The following is a 22,056-nucleotide window of genomic DNA, read 5'->3' as shown; positions in this document are numbered from 1 at the left end:
CCCCCTCCCTCCAGATAGGTAGATAGATGATAGATAGATAGTGTCCTGATAAAAGTTGGACCAGACCAGGGATGGCAATTCCTGGCATTCATAAAGCCACACTCATGGCAGACATTACTAATCAATTGCACCCATGCACGGCAGACATTTCTAATTGAACACAGCTCTCCTCCTGCAGAGCCTGGGTGCAGCTTCAGATTCTGCAATGCTGCGCTATAGGCAGCCCCCAGTTGGTCACAGCTGATAGCTGATGACATCTCTGGACCGCATAATTCCTCAGGTTCCTAACACAAAAGGAGCTCTTAGGTTTCCCAACTCCGATTTCCCAGGCAGGGAAAACTGAAGCTGAGAGGATGGAGACTGGAAAGCTGAGAGGGACCTGTGAGAGGCAAGCCCAGGGAGCCCAGCTGTCCCCACCATGTCTGGTGAGAGACTTGAGCTGGCAGGGAGCAGAGTCAGGGCCACCTTATACCGGGTGCAGATGAAGGGATGGGCCAGCGGTCACTGTGTGTCATGCCCAGTGTGGATCCGAGTGTGGATCTTGGGAGAGGAGACAAAGAGGAAGCAGCTGGCGGCAGGGGTGGTGGTCAGATTGCAGGAGGGGCCTGGGTCAGATTCAGGAGACAGGAGCGGCACCAGCTGGGGACCGGGCAGCCGCTGGGGCCCTGGAGAACCGTCAGGTACAGAGCGGGAAGCAGGAGGCAGCCAGGGCAGATCTTGGGGGTAAGAGAAAAAGGAGGAGAGGTGGGGGGAGGGGGGGGCCTTCCAGCCTCTCATGTTTCCTCTTTGTTGAACTAGGTTTGTTATTTTGCTTCCTCCGTTCCCCCACCTCCCATCTCTCATTCGAAGCAACTTCAGGTGCCTGCATTTCCCAAGTAAATTATGGTGGAAACTGTAGGCCCAGGTCCAGGATGAAGCACCCACCACTGTCCTCCTCATTACTGACAGCTGAAAAAACAGACCAAGGAGGACAGTAAGAAGGGGCAAGAGAACCAATACTTCCACTCTACACATTGTGCCAGCATGGCCTGGGCGTCATCTCTCATCATCTGGAAACAACCTTGAGAAGCAGGTGCTTTATTCCCCATTTTGCTGATTAGGAAACAGGCCCAGGGAGGTGGAGCAACGCAGCTGATGGTTGGTAGCATCAGGATTCAAACTCAGGTACATCTGACTCCGGAGCTTTTGGCCCTTAGCATACAGAAGGCTACATAGGAGATAATTATACTAATGGGAAAATACCTGGTAAAATTTCATTCTAAGCTTCCTGGCAGTCAACTTCGGGGGGAAAATAAGATGCCATGATCCATTAGTGTGATTGTGGGAGAAAAAGCAAAGCCCTTTGATAGTTTGGCAGGTAGATGGGGCTGAACGGTGGCCAGGAGAGAAGGCTGAGGGCGATGCTGGTTGGTCAGGCCGAGGTGGTCTTACCTCCTCCTCCTCCGTAACTGCTGAGCCCCTCCTACTGCCTCCACCCTCCAAGCTGGTCCAGTGTCCCTCTGGGCCAGCATTTCACTGGCTTCTCCCACCCCCACCCTGGTGACCTCCGTGCCACAGACCTGACGCCATCACCTCTCACTCGTATGCCTGCTCAGCCTCCTCCTCGGTCTGCCTGTCCCCACAGCCGCCTGCCCCTCTGATCCTTCCACCTCTGAGCCCTGCCAGGCTGATCTGGCTAAAGGTCGTATCTGGCCACACCACATCCTTGCTAAACCTCCAGTGACCCACTGTCATTTTCAGGATAATGGCTGAGGTCCTTAATGTGATCGTCCATGGCTTGGGGGACTTTGGGGAGGTCCCATCTGCTCTTATGCCTCAGTTGCCCCATCTGTGAATTGGGCAGGCAGATTGGATGATTTCTAAGTGCTCTCCTAGCCCTGACATTCTGTGGTTCCAGGTGCCACATGGAATATGGCTTAAGGCCTGGGCTACATGTATTTTACATCAAGAGTTCACGCTGGGGTTGGGGGGTGGGGATGAGAGTAGGGATTGCAACTGACTCATTTGCTTGGCACCTGCTGATCCCTGGGTTTGAAGTAGCCCTGCCCTGCCACCCAAGCTATCTACCCTCAGGTTCCTATGCATCCCTCAGAACCCCACTCAAGCATCTCTGCTTCTGGCAGGCCCTCTGATTTGCCCCCAAGTAGAGTAGATTACTTCCTCCTACTGTCCCCCTCCTGAGCTACCTCTGTTATAACCAACTGTTGTGCCGTGGGTCAGAGCCTGGGCTAGATTCTGGGGATCTAAGGGTGATACTAATAGCTTTGGAAGAACATCAGGTAGAGCCCCGTTAGCTCAAGACTTTAGTCAGAAAAGCCAGGCACAAGAAGACTCTGAAAGGACCTTCTAATTGGGGAAGGAGGGTGGAATGTTGGGTGGAGCTTTAGCAAGGGGGCTCAACTGGAACTCAGCTAGTTTTGGTTATAGTTGATTGAGGATGGTGCTTGGAAGAGAGAGGAATTGTTCTTGCAGATTAGCAGCCACTATTTGACAATTTGGGCTTTATCAACAGGCAGTGGGGGAGGGACAGCTTTGGGGTCAAGGATCTGTGAGAGCCACTGTGGAATGTTCTCGGTCCTTCAAAGTCTTCGAGAACTGCATGTATTGAGCACTTAGATGCGTCAGACTCTGTTATAAGCACATTGATCCTTCCACTCTCTGGAAGCATCCTTAACTCACTGGATCCTTAAGCAAATGCCATGAGGGAGGTACTATTCTTAGCCCATTTTATAGCTGAGCCTATGGCTCAGAGTGGCCAAGTGACTTACCCATGATCACACAGCTAGAATGTAGTGGAGCAAGTTGAACCCAGGCAATATTTAGCACCCACATGGCACAGCTTCTTACAGCTTCTAAAGGGTGTGCACCCCTGGTATCCCACACAAACACACAGTGACCTACCAAGATAGGAATGACAGAGGTTCTAAGTCTTGTTCCTCAGTAGAGGCCCAGAGGCCCTGAGGGGATGGCGGTGCCGTGTCCCGGGCCACACAGTGCGTTTGGTAGTGGGGGAGGGAGTGTTGATTAAATTTGAGCTCACCACCAGCACCTGTGACAGGCCTGGGACATCCCCTAGGCTGACTTGCTTAGAGACATTTTCCACCACCAGGGCTATGACACACTCGAGGCTCCCATCACAGAGCCTGGCAGAAAGTGAGGCAGGAAGCGCTGAGTGGTGAGAGACGCAGGTCGGGTAGTGGAGGGGGGAGTGCCCAGTCTACGATTCCAGGAAGCCAGGATGCAGACGGAGGGAGGAGCAGAGCTGGCAGACAATGTCTCATCTCCCATTCCTCTATTTACCTGGCCTCATGCTGGGCACTGGCCACAGAGAGGAGGCCGGCTACTGCTCTGTCCACAAAGAGTCTCCAACCTTGTCTGGGAGGGAGTGACTCTGGAGGACACATACAAGTAGACCAGCTGATCACAGCCCTCCTTCGGTGTGGAAGAAAATCAACCCGGTCCTGTGAGCACAAGCCTTGATCAGGAAATGGTGCCAGTGAACACTCTGGTGGAGTCTTCTAACCTGGGGAGGAATTGTGGAATGCCGTGCGGGGCTTTAGCAAGAGAGGCTGAGCCAGAGTTCAGGTAGTTTTGGATAGCTGCTTGAGGATGGTTCTTAGAAGAGGAAGGAATTGTTCATTCATTCATTTATTCATTCAACAGACATTTAGGAGGGCCTAGTACCTGCAAGTCACGGTGTTGGGGATCCAGCAGCGAGCAAAGCCCCCTTCATTCTACACTTTCAGCCTTTGTGGACACCTTGGGGCAGTGTGGCATAGTGGTTATAGCCTTAACTCTGGAGCCCCGCAGCCGGGTTAAGTACTGGCCCCCTCACTCTGGAGCCCCGCAGCCGGGTTAAGTACTGGCCCCCTCACTCTGGAGCCCCGCAGCCTGGGTTAAGTACTGGCCCTGCTGCCTATCAGCTGTGACTTTGGACAAATACCTAAGCTTCTCCGTGCCTCAGTTTTCTCATCTGTAAAAGGGGACAATACCAGGACTGTTGTGAGGATGAAAGAAATAATTGAATGTGGCAGGGTGCTGTGGCTTGCACCTGTAATCCAGCACTTAGGGAGGTCCAGGTGGGAGGATCCCTTGAGCCCAGGAGTCCAAGACCAGCCTGGCTAACATGGTGAGACCCTGTGTCTACAAAAAATATATACAGAAAATTAGCCGGGCATGGTGGTACATACGTGTAGTCCTAGCTACTAGGGAGGCCGAGGTGGGAAGATCCCTTGAGCATAGGAGATTGAGGCTGCAGTGAGCATTGATCGTGCCACTGCACTCCAGCCTGGGCAACAGAGTGAGGCCCTGTTACAAAAAAAGAAGTAAGTTAATGTAAAGTACTTAGGAGAGAAGAGCTAGCCGTGGGAGAGACAGACAGAGACAGGGCTGTGACCAGGGCAGCCAGGGGCCAGAGATGTGGAAGCTGCTGACTTGCTGGCTGGCCTTTTGGATACTCTGTTGCTGTGTTGGTGATGGCTGTTTGGGGCAGGGGATGAGCTGGACACCTGCAGGCTTGGTGTCTCCTGCCACCTCCCTGCCCTTTCCAACCTCCTAATCCTGACAGCTCATCTCCCTCAAGCACCTGGGTAGGTCTTGGGGGATGATGGTTTGAGATAAGGCCCAAATCTATGATGACAAGATTCTAGGAGGTGTGACAAATGCTGAAGGAAACCTATGAGGTCTTCTTCCTACCTCTCAAATCCAGCCGTGCTGGCTGCCACCCGCCTAGCTCAGGGCCGAGGACATTTTGTCCCTCCCAATTCTGTACCACTTGGCCCCTTTGAGCCTCAGTCTCTTCATCTAAAATGGGGTGAAGAAGTGAAATTTCAAAGGCCGGGTGCGGTAGCTCACTCCTGTAATCCCAGCACTTTGGGAGGCCAAGGTGGGTGGATCACCTGAGGTCAGGAGTTTGAGACCGGCCTGACCAACATGGTGAAACCCCATCTCTACTAAAAATACAAAAAAATTAGCTGGGCATGGTGGCCTGCGCCTGTAGCCCCATCTACTCAGGAAGCTGAGACAGGAGAATCACTTGAACCCAGGAGGCGGAGGCTGCAGTGAGCTGAGATCGCGCCACTGCACTCCAGCCTGGACAACAGAGTGAGACTCTGTCTCAAAAAAAAAAAAAGAAAAAAAAAAAAGATAGCCCACCCTGTGCCCAGTAACTACTGCTCATTCATTCTAATCTATTTATTGAGCTTCTACTATGTGCACTGGACTGTTCAAATTGGACATTTCGGTTTGAGAGAGCTCGGGTTGCTTGGAACGGGCTTGATGGTGGGTGGCTGGCCGTCCCCGGCCAACGGTCCAGTGATTCTCGTAACAGTGGGTGTAGGAGAGCACCCGTTACACTGTCAGTCCGAGCAATCAGCCAGGAACGGTACATGTTGGCGAGAGAATTCTATTGCTTGTAATTTATGCAAATATGAAACTAACAATGAAACCTTTGCTGCTGGGATCCCAAACTCAGATGCTGACAGGGACTGGGGTTTGGGTAGATATTAGCTGCAGTGATGAAATGCTGATGGTGTACACCCAGTAGATGCGGGCCCCGTTCTAAGTTCCTCACACAGGTTCTGTCAATCTTCACAACACTTAGGCTTACTGTCTCATTTTCTATATGAGGAAATGAAGGCCCAGTAAAATCAAATACCTTGTAGCTCAAGGGCATGTGGCCAAATAAGTGGTGGAGCCAGGACTCAAACTCAGGCTCCTGACTCTAGTAACTCTTTTTAACCCATGCAGTGTGATACAATAGGGAGTGGTGAGGTCTGTGTCAAACCGAAATTGCTCCAGGGCAGCCATCGCTGATTGTTGCCATGTTGGGGATCAGCTAGGTCATCTACTTTTTTTTTTTTTTTTAAGACAGAGTTTCACTCTTGTTGCCTAGGCTGGAGTGCAATGGCGTGATCTCAGCTCACCGCAACCTCAGCCTCCCGGGTTCAAGCGATTCTCCTGCCTCAGCCTCCCGAGTAGCTGAAACTACAGGCACGCACCACCACGCCTGGCGAATTTTGTATTTTCAGTAGAGACGGGGTTTCTCCACGTTGGTCAGGCTGGTCTTGAATTCCCGACCTCAGGTGATCCGCCCGCCTCCACCTCCCAAAGTGCTGGGATTACAGGCCTGAGCCACTGCGCAGGCCTGATCTTCTACATTTTTAAGAGAAGCTGAAAATTCAGTTTTTCCTGCAAAGTGTCCTTATTTTTAAATATTGGCCACTCATCTTTTAAAAACAGAAAACAAGCAAGCCAAGCAAAATGTGTCTGCACGGTAGAGAGGGAGGGAGAAAGGAAGAGCATCCTGCGGGATTTATTGTAAAGATCACTTCTTCCTGACCCCAGGTGTGCTGGCTGCTCCGTGCCCCCACCCCCTGCTTGCTGAGCTCAGCTGCAACTCTCTCCAGTTAACGATCCTCGATCCTCCGTGATCCATCCATTATTGAATCCCAGCACCTGCCACAGGTTGTTCGTTGAATGGATGTGTAGGTTGGTAAATGGGCAAAGGGGAGGAGGGAAAAAGGAAAAGGAGAAAGGAAGGAAGGAAAGGTGGGAGGGGAAGTTACTTAGAGGCTTTGAAAACCTGGAATGACCAAGGTTCTGAGAAACCAACGTGGAGGGAAGAGGCAACAGAGCCGACTGGTATCAGGAGCTCTCTCGGGCCCACCAAGTCAACAGCTGTCTGACACAGATGACCAAGGAGAATAGAGGTACTCGGGGAACCTGAGTGAGTGCTGGGGTCTTCCCATGAAAGGGCAGCAGGAAAGAGCCTCCTTGGGGAAATTTAGGTGTCTGTGACCTTGGACAGGGCCCCCTTCAAGGGCAAGAGCTAGTCCCACAAACCGGACTGTCTTTAGAGGAGGCTCTGCCTGCAATGTTTTGAGGCAAAAAAAAAAAAAAAAAAAAAAAAGTTGAAAATTGCAATTTTGTGTCCTTTGGAAATTTTTGTTGACTCTCTGCCTAAAGCCTTATGTATATGGAAATAAGTAATATTGTTCTTTTGTTTTAGTTTTTAGAATTCATTTTTGGACAGTATACTGGGAAGAGTACAGGCTGGGAATCAGGTCACCTGGGTTCCAGTCCCAGCCCTGCCTCAGCATTGCTGTGCAACCTTGGGTAGTCTCCACCCACTCTCTGGGTCTGGCTCCCTGATGTGGTTTGGCTGTGTCCCCACCCAAATCTCATTTCAAATTGTAGCTTCCATCATCCCCACGTGTAGTGGGAAGGACCAGGTGGGAGGTAATTGAATCATGGGGGCAGGTTTTTCCCATGCCGTTCTTGTGATAGTGAATAAGTCTCATGAGCTCTAATGGTTTTGTAAAGGACAGTTCCCCTGCACACACTCTTGCCCGCCACCATGTAAGACGTGCCCTTACTCCTCCTTTGCCTTCTGCCATGATTTTGAGGCCTCCGCAGCCATGTGGAACTGTGAGGCCATTAAACCTCTTTTTCTTTATAAATTACCCAGTCTTGGGTATTTTTTCATAACAGCATGAAAATGGACTAATATAGTCCCCCTATCTGTTCTGGGAGCCCCACCTGCTACAATCCCACAGTGGAGGAGAAGGTCAGGCTGAGTGATGCATGCAGAGTTTCCATTCTGTGTCCCCAAGGTGGCTTGAAGCAGCCCCTCCCAAACCCCAAACCCCTGATCAGCATCTGTACCCCGACTGCCCATCTGGGAAAGAAGCGACTGGGCATGCCAGGGCCTGGTGGTGAGTTTGTCCTAGCAGCATCTTCAGACAGAGGCCAGAGGCCAGGACCCAGGGCTGAGACAGAGGCCGAGGGCTCAGGAGTGGTGGTGTGGGCAGTGGGAAGGAACACAGAGACAGGAGAAGGTGTCACTGGGAAGGACAACTGGCTCTGAAGCCAGAGGGTCCTGGGTTTGAATCCAGCTCCTAGCACTTCCTGACTGTGTGACATCAAGCAAATCACTGCTCTGAAACTCCACTTTCTCACCTCAGATGGGTGAAGTGACCATTTTTCTTATTGGAGATCAGGCCTATCCTGGGTCTGGTTAGCTGTATTGTAAGCCATAGATTATTCTAAGCCTTAGGATCCTTAAATCCCTGTACAGATGGAGGAAGACAAGCCACAGAGATGGGGACTCCTGAGAGGTCCCACACCTGTTGGTGACAGGCCATTCTGGTGGATTCTTATTCCTCCAAGCACATAAGAAGCATCTCCATGTACTGCTGAGGGTCCTGTCCTCCACCGGGTGCTGTCACGTGGTGGGCGGGGCCAAGTGCCTGCCAAGCTTCTGTCCCACTGTCTGTTTCCCTAGGCTTGGCAGCTTTCTTCAAGGGCAGCAACTGAGACTTGTTCTATTTCTTTTACATCTTTGTTCTTGTTCTTTCTTTTTTCTTTTTTTGAGATGGAGTCTTGCTCTGTCGTCTAGGCTGGAGTGCAGTGGTGGATTTCGGCTCACTGCAACCTCTGCCTCCTAGGTTCAAGAGATTCTCCTGCCTCAGCCTCCCGAGTAGCTGGGACTATAGGCGCCTGCCACCACTCCCAGCTAATTTTTTTGTATGTTTAGTAGAGATGGAGTTTCACTGTGTTAGCCAGGATGGTCTTGATCTCCTGACCTCGTAATCCACCTGCCTCGGCCTCCCAAAGTGCTGGGATTACAGGCGTGAGCCACTGCGCCCGGCCCCCCTCTCTTTTTATTCTTATCTAAAATCAAAGTGTTGGCAGGCTCATTCTCTCCCTGAAGGCTCTAGAAAAAAAATCTTCCTTGCTGCTTCCTAACCTCCTTACATTTTTATTTTTTTAGAGACAGGGTCTTGCCCAGGTTGGAGTGCAGTGGCAGGAGCATGGCTCACTGCAGCCTCAACTTCTTGGGCTCAAGTGATCCTCTCCCCTCAGCCTCCCGAGTAGTTGGGACTACAGGTACATGCTGCCACACTTGGCTAATGTTTGTATTTTTGTAGAGGCTGGGTCTTGCTATGTTGCCCAGGCTGATCTTGAACTCCTGGGCTCAAATATTCCTCCCACCTTGGCCTCCCAAAGTGCTGGGATTACAGGCATGAGCCACCTTGCCCAGACTCCTTATCCTTTTTATGTTATTTTTCTTGTTCTCTTTTGTGGCTGTGTTGAGGCTCAACACCAATCAAATGAACGAACAAGTGAATTGCAGTAGGGACACCGTGCATTGGAAAGAGATGGCAGAGGTGGCCTCTGGGGACCCTGCCTAGGTGGCCTCAGAAAAGTTGCATCTATTGAGCAGTTCAGGCTTTAGAGGCCTGTGGGAGGTGGAAGGAAGCAGGTCATAACTGTGATTTTGGGGGAGGAGAGTAAGATGGTGGTAGCTCAGGTGTAGGGAGAGGACACACTTCAGAAGTGACTTGAGGACTCATGGTCATGTGGAACCTTTGGGACACTTGTCCACAGCATTGTCAACAGCCAGCCTGCCCCTGCCTGCCTCACCCTGCTTAATATGGGCTGGATTGTGTCACCCCAAAAGATACATTGAAGGCCTGACCCTTTAACCTATGAATGTGACCTCATTTGGAAATAGGGTCTTTGCAGATGTGAAGAAGATGAAGTCCTTAGGGTGGACCCTAATCCAGCATGGCTGGTGTCCTTTAAAGCAGAGGAGAAGAGGCATGGAGCCACGCACAGGGAGAAAGCCATGAGATGGCAGAGGCAGAGTTTGGAGTGACGCTGTCACAAGCCAAGGCACACCAGGGATCGCCAGCAACCACCAAAGCCAGGAAGAGGCAAGAAAGACCCTCCCTTGGAGACTTCAGGGAGGGCGTGTGGCCCTGCTGCCACCTTGAGTTTGGACTGCCCGCCTCCAGAACTGGGAGAGAATAAGTGGCCGGTTTTTTCTTTTTGTTGTTGTTGTTTTTGAGATAGAGTCTCACTCTGTCACCCGGGCTGGAGTGCAGTGGCTTGATCTCAGCTCACTGCAACCTCTGCCTCCCGGGTTAAAGCGATTCTCCTGCCTCAGCCTCCTGAGTAGTTGGGATTACAGGTGCCCACCACTATGCCCAGATAATTTTTTGTATTTTTAGTAGACATGGGGTTTCACCATGTTGGCCAGGCTGGTCTCGAACTCCTGACCTCCTGATTCTCCCGCCTCAGCCTCCCAAAGTACTGAGATTACAGGCGTGAGCCGGCGCACCTGGCCGTGTCTGTTGTTTTGAGCCACCCTATTGGTGGCAGTTTGTTTTGGCAGCACTGGGAAGCTCATACCCTGCCCTGGAGCCCAGAGGAGCCCCATGCTTCCAGCCACCGTCTAGACAGCGTCTGGCTGGAGCACACAGAGCCCGCCCCTCACCTCCTCACCACAGACCCTGGGCCTCCCCTGTAGGTTTCAGAGAGAGGCTCGGCTCAGCAAAGAGTAGAGAAGGTGGTAAGGTATTTCCCACAGCAGCCTCCTTGAGCTCTGAGACGTGGCTAGCCCACAGGACAGGAGGATGAGGAGAGGGTGGCCCTCCTGCTATCTGATCCTTTCCTCCCACCGAGAATAGTACCATCAGTTCTTGTACTAGGACTGAACAGTGTCTCCTCAAAATTCATGCCTACACATAACCTGTGAATATGACCTTATTTGGAAATAGGGTCTTTGCAGATGGAAGCAAGTTAAAATGGGGTCCTACTGGTTTCGGGTGGGGCACAAATCCATGATGACTGATGTCTTTATAAAGTGTGTGCAATTGAACACTGAGACACACACACAAGGAAGAAGCTCGTGCTATGATGGAGGCAGAGATTGGAGCGTTGCACCTCCAAGCCAGGAAACACCAAGAATTGCCAGAGGACCGAAAGCTAGCAAGAGACAAGGAGGGATTTCTTTTCTAGAGCCTCTGGAGAGGCAATGAGCCTACCAACACTTTGATTTCAGACATCTGGCCTCAGAGCTGTGAAGGAACAAATCCCTGTTGTTTTAAGCCACCCAGTTTGGGGTCATCTGTTATGGCAGCCCCTGGAAACAGCGACACCCCCCATCAAAGAGACCAGGCTGGAGTCTATGTTCCACCTGCAGTGGGTGGCGGGACCCGGGGCAGGTGAACTTCTCCTTTCAGATCCTCAGTCTCCTCTTCTGCTCAGTGGAGACCCATATTCCCACTCTGAAGCCTAGATTTGTGGCATCATTGTGATCGACTGTGTGGAGGGCCCAGCTGTCAAAATCCTTACTGTGTTATCATCAAAGGAGTTAACAGTAACTGTCATTTGTTCACTCAACAAATATTTATTCCTCCTGTGTGCCAGGCACTGTTCTAGGCTAAGAGTGTTGAGGGAGTGGGACCGACAACTTGCAAGATTGAGAAATCTTCATGGGACTCACAGTCAAAAGGGGGTGGGGAGAATAGGGAAAGAAACAAGTAGACCCCAAACTGGAAAATTTCGGAGAACAAGTGCTGTGACTTGGGGGTTTGTGTATAAGAGCTGGGTTGTTGTGTTCTTGCTTCTAGGGCTTTCTCTGAGCTCAGACAAGGTTACCCCCAATTCCGCTCTGCCTGAGCGTCCACTCCATGGCTTAAGGCATCACATGGCCTGAAGGCTCCTGATAAAAATACAGATATCTTGGCTCTTCAGTCTCTTCAGTGGACAATGAGTGAGCGCCTGCTGTTCGCAGGAGCCCGGGAGGAAGCTAGACACAGGAACAGGCTTTGCATAGCATTTACCTAATACTAGTGCAATGGGCATTGTATTCGTTGGCTAGGGCTGCCTTCACATGACCCCACACCTGAAGGGCTTGAACGACAGAAATGTGTCTCACAGTTCTGGGGGCTGGAGTCCAAGATCCAGGTGTCGGCCGGCTTGGTTCCTTCTGAAGGTATGAGGAAGAGTGTTCCAGGCTTCTCTCTTGGCGTCTGATGTCTTGCTGGCAATCAGTGGGGTTCCTTGGCTTATAGAAGCAATGCCACGTTCTCTGCCTTTACCTTCACGGCATTCCCTCTGTAGGCGTGCGTCTCTGTCTCTATATTTCCCTTTTGGATAAGGACACCAATCATACGGACGAGGAGCCCACCCTACATTTTTTTTTTTTTTTTGGCCTACAACAACCAGCTTTATCACCCACCATCCGTAGGCCATGAAGTGGTAGCTTGGGGACATCTTGTGGGTCACCAACACGTGGAGGGACTGGGATTTTGGCTGGGTCTGCCCACTCTCCAGCACCCCGCTGGATCTTGGTCACCTGAGTGTGGTGGGCACACCGAGGCCTGCTCTGCCCTGTCCTGCTGGGTCAGGCCTGTGTTCCTCGCTGTCCGGCCCCCACCATGCCCAGCCTTCAAGCCTCCCCTCATCCCCTCACCAGGCCTCCCGGAGGCTTCTTTTTCCTTGGGGACCAAGGAGGCTGAGGCTCAGTGTTAGGAATGCAGATTCCCAGAGCAACAAGGCTTCCGTTCCATCTATGTGAACGTGTCTCTTTGCTGCGAGGACAAGAGTGTCCCTTGTTGACAGAGGAAATCCCTGACTCCTTGGCAGGCTGTCCCCTACCCCCACGGCTTTCTGGGACCCTTGTCTGTGCTTTTCTCTTCTCTTCTTTCCTCTCCTTTTCTCTTTCTTTTCAAGACAGGGTCTTGCTCTGTCACCCAGGCTGGAGTGCAGCAGCACAGTTATGGCTCACTACAGCCTCCAACTCCAGGGCTCAAGTGATCCTCCCACCTCAGCCTCCCTAGTAGTGGGATCTGCAGGTGTGCACCACTATGCCCAGCTAATTAAAAAAAATTTTTTTTTGTACAAACAGGGTCTCACTATGTTGACTAGGCTGGTCTCAAACTCCTGGGCTGAAGGGATCCTCCCTCCTTGGCGTCCCAAAGTGCTGGGATTACAGGTGTGGGGGTAAGCCACTGCACCCAGCCACGTCTGTGCTTTCAAACACCTCTCTCAGCATTTTGCTGCTGCTTGCTTATTGCCAGCCCCTCCCCCCAGGCCATGTCGGATCGATGGCCAGGTGGCCGCCAGGTCTAGAGGACGTCGATTGTGCAAGATCGGCTTTTCAGACTGTCGGGCTAGCAGCCTGGGCTGGGGGCCTGGGCCTTTTGACCTTCCAAAGGACAGGATGGGGTACAGAGGCTAGGATCGGGGTGTCTTCACCCCCTACACAAACACACTATCCCTGCTCTGTCTCAAGCATCTGTCCCTCAGGAAGTTTGCAAGGTGGGGCCCAGGGCCTGGGAAGAGGGGAGTTTATGGGGAGGAGGCAGAGTTGTTGGGGCTGGGACGAGGGACAGTGGGCAGGGCTATGGTGTTCGGTCTCAGGGTCAGGGTCAGGCCCATGGGCAGGGGCCAGGACTCTGGGGAGGGCCACAGGAGAAGGTGAGGGAAGGTACCCCCTAACCCAGAATCCTAACCAGCCTGACAGTGCGCCCTCCTGCCCTGGCCCAGCCCTGGCTCTGCCTGGAGATGGTGCTGTACTGAGCTCATGCCCAGCCCCCATGGGCAGGGGCCTTCACACCTTAGGACACAGGGGTGCCCCCCACGCACATGTCAGGGAGGTACCTGCCTACTGCTACAGGCCCCCTTAGGGAGCACACGCCAGAGAGCATGGGGCATCTACGTGCTTGAGACATGCGTGAGGGGCCACACAGGTAGGCACCACACACATGCCACCTGTCATTGCCTGGACTTCAGTGCACAGGCACACCTGGCCCCGACACACCAGCGTGTCACCATGAGAAGAGGAGAAACCCGCTCTCGGCGCCCCCCACAGTGCTGGGCCTTCGCACACGTTGTTTCCCGTTCATCAAGAAGGGGCGAATTTTTTTCATTCGACAGATGGAAGAAGCACCGCTCAGAAGTCAGGGAATCTGCCCAGGTTCCTACAACTAAAAGGGAGCCAGGTAGGGCTGAAAACCGGCGGTCACGGCAAAGCCCGGGCGCGGGGCCCTGTCCCATCCCAGCCAATCCATAAGCATCTCACACTTCACACCCGCTGCACACTCCACTCACACGCCTCACACTCCACACATGCCTCACGCTCCACACACACCTCACACTCCACACACGTCTCACACTACACACACGCTTCACACTCCACACATGCTTCACACTACATACACCTTACACTACACACACACCTCACACTATGCACACACCTCACACTAAACACATGCCTCATATTCCACACATACTGTGAGCATGCACACACACACACACACAGCTGCACACACCTCTCATGCTCCATACACACCTCACACCATACGTACCTCAAAGACACACACACCTTACACTGCACATTCCCAGCACCCACACTGCACACACATGCACAGTCCATATGCCCACACAACACACTTCACACACCCCCCACCCCACACCATACAAACCTCACAGACACACCTCTCACACAAATCTTATACCCCACACACAATCCCTACGCTCCACACACACACACACACACACACACGCACATTCTACACATACATAATCTACACACACAAATTCCAGACTGTCTCTCTTACACACACACTCTGGGACCCATATGCCCACAGCACACAGCATCTCAGGCGTGCACCCCGCATTCTGGCCTCAGGATGTAGACTCGCTGAAAGTCAGCCTTGTCTGAGACAGACGCCCGCTGCCCTGCACGCACCCTAGAAAGCCCTGGCTCCCATCCGGCACTTCGGCACGCATATGGCTCAAACCCATCTCCACAGCAACGCTGTTCCATAGAACAACAACGCAGGTCACACTTGTGACTTAACCTGTCTAATATCCACATGCAACAAGGGGTGTGGTGGCCCGCGCCTGTAATCCCAGCTACTTGGGAGGCTGAAGCAGGAGGATCATGTGGGCCCAGGAGCTCCAGACCAGCCTGGCAACCTAATGAGACCCTGTCTCTGAAAAAAAAAAAAACAAGAGAGCCAGAAGAAAATTGCTTTTAATAATACATTTTATTTATCCCATGATCACCAGTGTTATTTCAACATAAAATCAATATAAAAATTGTTATCGCGTTGGTTGACATCCTGTTTGCACTTGGCCTTGGAAACCTGGTGTGCGTCTCCCCCGTGCAGCTTTTCTCAGTTCAGACTGACTCAAGAGCCACGGGTGACCAGCGGCTACCGTCATGGACAGCACAGCGCTACGGAACCAGGTAGGAATTCATGCTGCGTGCGGTCGCTCATGCCTGTAATCCTAGCGTTTTGGGAGGTCGAGGTGGGTGGAATCACTTGAGGTCAGGAGTTCGAGACCAGCCTGGCTAACATGGTGAAACCCCATCTCTTCTAAAATTATGAAAATTAGCCGGGCATGGTGGTGGGCGCTGTAATCCCAGCTACCTGGGAGGCTGAGGCAGGAGAATTGCTTGAACCCGGGAGGCGGAGGTTGCAGTGAGCCGAAATCACACCACTGCACTCTAGCCTGGGTGACGGAGTGAGACTCCATCTTAAAAAAAAAAAAAAAAAAAAAAAAGAACGAGGTAGGAATTCAAATAATTCCCAGCTAAACAGAAAATAGCATCAAACCCCACCCCTGCCTCCCCTTTCTCCTCTCCAGTCCCCAGAGTATATGGGCCCAGCCTCCTTTTCTCTCTCTCAGGCCAGCAGCTCCTTTAGTCTCGCCTGTCCAGGTAAGCACCTGGACTCACCCTTGTGAGCCCCTGCACTCACCTGCACCGGCCTCTGCACAGTCCCCAGTCCTTGGCTGTCCCTACCTCATGCTCTCGGGGACCAGGGGCTGTAACCAGGCAGGCATGTCACCAGGCAACGGGCCTCGGGGGAGAGCTCAGATCTCCCGCACCTGCCTGCCAGCCTCTGGGGTGCCCATGCGGGGGTGGGGGAAGATGGGGCGGGGCAGGCACTGCCTTCTCCTACCTCCTGCCTGTTTACCTGTACTTAGTCACAGTGCTGTCCAGGACCCAGCAGGAGGAGTTCCATGGAGCCTGAGGCCACAGGCCACAGGGGACAAGGGCCAGACACCCTGGTCATGGCTCTAGGCCATTGATCCAGCCTGGGCTGGCTGGGTGGGGGTGGGGAGGCCTTGGCCTGGACAAACAGAGGCTCCTGAGGCCTGTGTGCAGGCCCGGCACCTATCTGCCGCTCCCAAAGGTAAGCGGGGGCCTCCAGGACAGGGGACCGGGATCTATAAATGACCTAGTGACAGTGTCCACCCTAAGAGCTGGGCCTGGCTCCCTGCAGCCTGAGCCACCTACCCTGCTCCGAGGCCAGGCCTGCAGGGCCTCATCGGCCAGAGGGTGATCAGTGAGCAGAAGGTGAGGGGCCCACAGAGCTGGGGAGGGGAGGGACCACGCAGGGTGACACCAGGTGTGTGGACAGGCACAGCATCAGTGCTGGGTGGTTGGTGGCCTGGGATTCAGGTGGCAGGGACAGGAGGAAGGGAGAGGCCACCCTACCCCTGCCTCGCAGGACTGGACATGCTGCCCCCTCCACACCCGGTACCCCACCTGGGCCTTCTGGTGTAGGAGACAGGCCCGGAGCCCCACATTGCACCTATGTACTGACTTAAGCCCAGGACCCTGGGCTCACAGGCTCAGAGTTGGCATGTATGTGTATGTGTGTTCGTGTGTGTGTCTGTGTAGGAAGGGCGTGCATCTATGAATTTTTGTGTCATGAATAGATGTGCGTATATCCCTCCGCGTGTCTCCATCTGTGTACATCTGTGGGTCTGTGAGTGTGTTTATATGTGTGGAAGGGACCCCCACCCAGTCCCCCACACTCTCAGGACTCTAGGGCCTAATGGTTTCACTGAAAGATGCCCCTATGGCCCTAGCCCAGAGTCCCTGCTCTGCTCTGCTCTGCCCTGGCTGAGGGACCTCGGGTAAGTCATGTTACCTCTCTCTACCTCAGTTTCCCCAGCCATTAAATAGAGTCAGCAAAGTAGGCACCCCAGGCTGTTGGAGGCTGCAGTGGAGTTTGCAGCACTGCCCAGCACAGGGCTGGCACATGGTAGGAGTTCATACGCAGTGGTTGAATCCGGATCTGCATTGCTGGGGGAGTCGCGGCCCCGCCCCAAGGAGCTCAGCCTCCAGCAGGCAGACCCGAGACCCTCCAATGGCCAGAAGGGCAGGAGGGAGTGAGGAGCAGGTGCCAGGGTGGGGTCCATGGTGCTCAGAGCTGGGGGACTGCTTCAGGCCCCTGTGGCAATTGGAGCACAGTCCCCGCTTCCAGGAGTTCAATGTGAGGGGCAAAGAGAGAGTGCCCACAGGTAAGCTGCACATCGCGAGGGGCAGCCGCCCCTTCTAGGGCACTCTGGGAGAGCTGCGAAGAGGTGAGGTCTGAACTGAGGTGACAGGGGCTGCATAAGAGCTGGCCAGGTTGGGAGGTGGGGGCCCAGGCAGAAGGAAGAGTGTGGGGACGCCTGGCCGTGAACAAGCACTGACAGGGCTCAAGGTCCACGAGGGCTCTTGGTGCCGGCTGGCTGCTCTTAATCCATAAATGTTTGCTACCATCCCATTGTTAAAATTTCTCACCAATGGAAGTCCAGTGTCCTTGGGGTGCGACGGGGAAAAGAGAGGGTGGGAAAAAAGGAGGCAGGAGAAGTTGGCCAGGCCACATATGCACACAGCACCTTGGACTTCTGTAGGGAGGAAGGAGCTGGGACCTTGTCATTCATTCATTTAACAATTACTGAGTGTCCGCTGAGTACCAGACTCTGCTCTCATGCAGCTTACAGACAGGGAGGAGGCAGATAAATGACATATTTGCATATCAGGCAATTTAGGCCTCTGTAATTGCTATAAAGAAAAATGCAGGAGAGACGGGAGTGCCCAGGGAAGGCCTCTCTGGAGAGGTGACATCTGACCCTTTGGAGGAGGTAAAGGAGGGAGCCACGAGGCCAGCAGAAAGGAAAACATCCCAGGCCCAGCAAGGAGCAAACCTCCCATTCAGCAAAGAGGACAGGAAAACTGAGACCCTGGGTCTTTAGGGACTGTGTTCTAGGTGGATGGAAGCCGTGCGAGGCTTGTGGGCAGGGCACATGGTGACAACACGCAGTGGCCATTGTGTGAGAACTCACTGGGTAGGGGGGTGGGTGATTGGCTATTGCAGGAGTCGAGGTGACAGATGACGGTGGCCTGGATGATGGTGGGAGTCATGGGGGGCCAAGAAGGGGCTGGCTTTGGGGGGCATTTGGAAGGTAGGGCCACAGGCTTTTCCAAAGGTGCTGGACCCTGGGAATGGGGGAGCCGTTGTATTATAAGATAGTAAAGACAAGAGTGGCACCGTCATCTTCACAACTGTCCACTGCCCCTCCTCCTGCTGGGCAGGAAACCCAAGAGGATGGGAATGAGGTCTCTTAGAGTCACCATGTGCCACCCTGTCGCCACCACAGAGCCTGGCACCAAGCAGGTGCTAGACAAAGATAGGGTGACTGAGCATTGAACCTGGGACCCCACAGGCCCACACCATTGTCCATGCCCCAGTGCCAGGCCTCACAAGTCCTCCTTCCTGGAGGCAGCAAGATAGAAAGCCCTGTACCAGGGGCCTAGAGACTTGGCAGTTTCATTCACTCATTCTTTCTGATCCTTCACTCATGTGACGGGCTGTGCGGCGTTCCATGGGGAACCCCAGAGGTGAGCAAGATGCTGGCCCTGCCTGTTCTGTAGGGGACAGAGGCAAGACCCAAAGCCAAGGCATATTCTTGATCTGATCAAGGGCTGCCCAGGGGAGGGGGCAGCTTAACTAGCCAGGGGCCCAGAACCCAGTGCCTGGCAGGTCGCCTGGTAAGAGTTCCCCACAGTCCAGGCAGGGGGACTCAGCTGCACAAAGGCAGGGTCTCGTGGGCCTGGGGCACCATGTGCATGATGGAAGTTATAGCCACGAGGAGGGTGGACAGCAGCCTGGCCATGGAGGGTCTTGGATGTCGCAGCAAGGGGTTTGGATGATAAGTGGCTGGGAGCTGTGAAAGGATCCTGAGCAGGTGAGCGATTGAGCTGGGGAGGGAGGATGCGCTGGAAGACGCAATGGAGGCAGGGGACCTAGTGAGGAGGCCGCCCCAGGGGTTTGGGTGGGAAGTTATGATGAGCCCGGGGGAATTAATTTCCCACTACTGCCATTTGGACCATGGCTTGGGTTTTTACAGAGGGTGTCCTGAAAATGAGCCTCTCTGTGCTGCTCAAAGTCCTCCCAGATGGATGCGAGGGGCATTTAGAGGGAGGCAAAATCTGCATAGAGAAGGACGCCTGGCTTGGAGGATGAGAGGGGAGGGGAGGCCCACCAAGCACCCCACCATGAGCTGCCCCTCTTCGGGCTTCCTCTAATGGACCCACGACCTGCTCCGAGCCTCAGTTTCCCTCTCTTTACACTGATTATCTGAGAGGTAGTAGGGCTCAGTGATCAGGGCGTCACTCTGAAGTCAATCTGCTTGACTTTGCAGCCTGGCTGTGCTGCTGACCAGCTGTGTGACCTTAGCCAAGCTGCTCAACCTCTCTGTGCCTTGACTCTCCCATCTGTAAAGTAGGAGTGATCAGAGTACCTGTCCCCACAGGATCTGTGTAAGGCTTACATGAGAAAGTGCACATAAAGCAACAGAGACAATTGAAATAAATGTCACCTGTTACCACCTCTATGCCCCCGAGTCCCCATGGCTCTATGACTCATCCCAAAATAGCTCCTTTGTGATCCAGACTCAAGAGTAAAACAGGGCCAGGTATGGTGGCTCACATCTGTAATCTCAACACTTCAGGAGGCCAAGGTGAGGGGATCGCTTGAGGCCAGGTGTTTGAGACCTGGTCTCTACAAAAAATAAAACTATAAAATTAGCCAGGTGTGCTGGTGCACCTGTAGTCCCAGCTACTTGGGAGGCTGAGGTGGGAGGATCACTCGAACCCAGGAGTTGGAGGCTGGGGTGAGCTATGATCGTGCTACCATACTCCAGCCTGGGTGACAGAGTGAGATCCTGTCCCTTAAACAAAAGGGGTGCGACGGGAATATGGTGTCCTCCTCTGGCAGAGGGAGGGGACGAGGGACTGAAAGAAGGGCAAGGAGCCAACCCATCACCTGGGATCTTCCCAATCCAGCAAACCTTCTCAGATTTTGAGGACAGCCACCTCAGTCAGAGGTGGCCAGCCCAGGACAGACAGGCAGCTCTGCGCTGGGGACTCAAACCTGCCATGTGGCCTCATGCAAGAGTCTCAGCACCCTGTTACTGGTCTGTTTCTTGCCTGTTTCTCACTAGGGATGCTGTGAACATTTGAGGAAGTGGGCGGGGCTGTCCCACCCGTTGCCGGACGTTTACCATTTACCATTCCCTGGCCTTGGCCCCATAAAAGCCAGTAGGGCCCACTCCACATGCAGGAATGTCCTAGCTTAGTTGTGGAGGGGGATGTCATGCCCAGTGAGGGTCCCCTGCAGTCCCTCCCTTCCTTGTATCTGATGGGGGCCGCTCAACAGAGTCACTGTGGCTTGACACCAAAGACCCTTAGCTGGGAACGATGCCAAGGGGAGCTGGAGGGAGCCAGGAAGCTGGGAGAAGGGCCAGGGCCCTTCACATCCACCTGGGAGGACTTTGAGCATTACTAAAGAGCCCCGTTTTTGGAAACCCGCTGTGTAAAATCCCAAGATACAGCCCAAAGGAAGCCCCGCCTGCATCTGGGGTGCATTTTATTTATTTTTTTATGTTTTTTTTTTTCTCAAGCAGAGTCTTGCTCTGTCACCCAGGCTGGAGTACAATGGCATGATCTCAGCTCACTGCAACCTCCCCTGACCAGGTTCAAGTGATTCTCCTGCCTCAGCCTCCCGAGTAGCTGGGATTACAGGTGCCCACCACCACAGCCGGCTAATTTTTGTATTTTTCATAGTGACAGGGTTTCACCATATTGGCCAGGCTGATCTCGAACTCCTGACCTCAGGTGATCCACTCACCTCAGCCTCCCAAAGTGTTGGGATTACAGGCGTGAGCCACGGCACCCGGCCCTGGGGTGCATTTTAAAGCTACACGGTATTTATGGATATAGTAAGAGGAGATGAACTTCGCAGTAGTCTGGAGCCTTTGCTCTCCCGGTGGGTGGGTCAAAGGCTTTCTCTGTACTGTGGGGAAACCTGCGTCAAAGGCCAAATACATTGGGATGTTTGCTTGAAAGGGTCTCAAAATAGAGTTGGAACCCTGGAGCGTGGAGAGGGGCGACATTCAGTTGCTATTTAATCATGATTTGTTAATTAACAGCTCATTTATGGGAGGCATCTTAGATTCGTGGAAAAAGCAGGGAGTCAGACATCTAGACTCAACCTCCACTTCCCTGCTGTGTGATCTTGGGCAAGCGGCTTAGCCTCTCTGGGCTTCAGGGTTTTTTTAATCTGTAAAATGCGTCTGGGAGTGAATGTCAGGTATTCAAATCACACTGGGAAAATGGGGCTAGGAAAAGCCCTAGACTGAGTTAGTGCTAGAACACTCTGGGTCTCAGTTTCCTTATCTGTTCAATGGGTGCAGAACTGGAGGTTTAAGTGAGATAAAGCAGGTGAAGTACCCACGTGGTGTGGGCTGGAGGAAGAAAACATGGGACAATGGTTCCACATCCCTGGGTGACCTGAAAATTAAGTGTGAGATGTCTCATGAGGGCACGAAATGAATATTAGTTTTTGTTCCCTTCCTCTGCCACAAGACTTTGAGAGCAGAAAGGTGAGAGAGACGGTACTCTGTGAAGGAAGGCAGGTCCCCGGCCCAGCGCAGTGCCAGCTCAGGGGATTCTGGGGCGGGGGCTAAGTGCATGGACTGTGTGGGCGTGGTGGGAAGCTCCGTGAACCAGAACCAGGAGCAAGAAACAGCATTCCTTGCGTGGACGGGAAATGAGGGCAAGAGGTCAGATGTCTACAGAAGTCTGCACCCCATGTACTTCAGTTCTGTCTGTGGGTGCAGCCTCTAGGGAGGTGGGTGTTTAGGTACTGAGACCTCCGTCTGTCCTCTGACCATAGGGAAGCCAGTGGGAAGCAAAGGTGGGGTTCTTGAGCCAGACCCAGTCCAGCTCTGGTGCCTGCCCTCTGGTGCGAGCTGACCTGAGATGCACTTCCCTCCTCTGTGAGCTGTCTCGGCACCCACTTGCAGTCACTGCCGCCTGATGTTGTTACTCTTCCACTCCAAAAGGCAGGGAAGTCCTGCTTCCGTGCCCCACCGGTGCTCAGCAGAGGCTCCCTTGCAAATGCGAGGCTG

General features: G+C 53.3%; 1 protein-coding gene across 9 annotated transcripts in view, besides 1 other annotated feature; it reads left to right on the top strand.

Annotated features, from left to right (window-relative positions):
* Nucleotides 14,968–22,056, top strand: part of TMPRSS6 (transmembrane serine protease 6) — a 45,101-nt gene continuing 38,012 nt past the window's right edge. For 4 of the 9 annotated variants that reach the window (XM_047441170.1, XM_011529989.3, NM_001374504.1 and 1 more), the window contains exon 1: nt 15,791–16,001. The gene's annotated coding sequence lies outside the window, so the exon portion shown is untranslated. Of the gene's footprint in view, nt 15,050–15,790; nt 16,002–16,066; nt 16,166–21,847; nt 21,991–22,056 lie in introns of those variants that run through there. The other 5 variants (XM_047441171.1, NM_001289001.2, XM_024452168.2 and 2 more) reach the window with 3 other exon arrangements.
* Nucleotides 17,060–17,561: an enhancer, noted in NCBI's record as "H3K4me1 hESC enhancer chr22:37503983-37504484 (GRCh37/hg19 assembly coordinates)". NCBI's record gives its function as "activates a minimal SCP1, AML or CMV promoter by ChIP-STARR-seq in primed H9 embryonic stem cells {active_cell/tissue: H9 hESC(primed)}" and the evidence as "EXISTENCE:reporter gene assay evidence [ECO:0000049][PMID:30033119]".

Source organism: Homo sapiens, chromosome 22 (assembly GCF_000001405.40).
Source record: "Homo sapiens chromosome 22, GRCh38.p14 Primary Assembly".
In the NCBI taxonomy this organism is placed as follows: domain Eukaryota; kingdom Metazoa; phylum Chordata; class Mammalia; order Primates; family Hominidae; genus Homo; species Homo sapiens.
The sequence above is the reverse complement of the archived record's forward strand: the minus strand, read 5'-3'. Positions and strand labels throughout refer to the sequence as shown.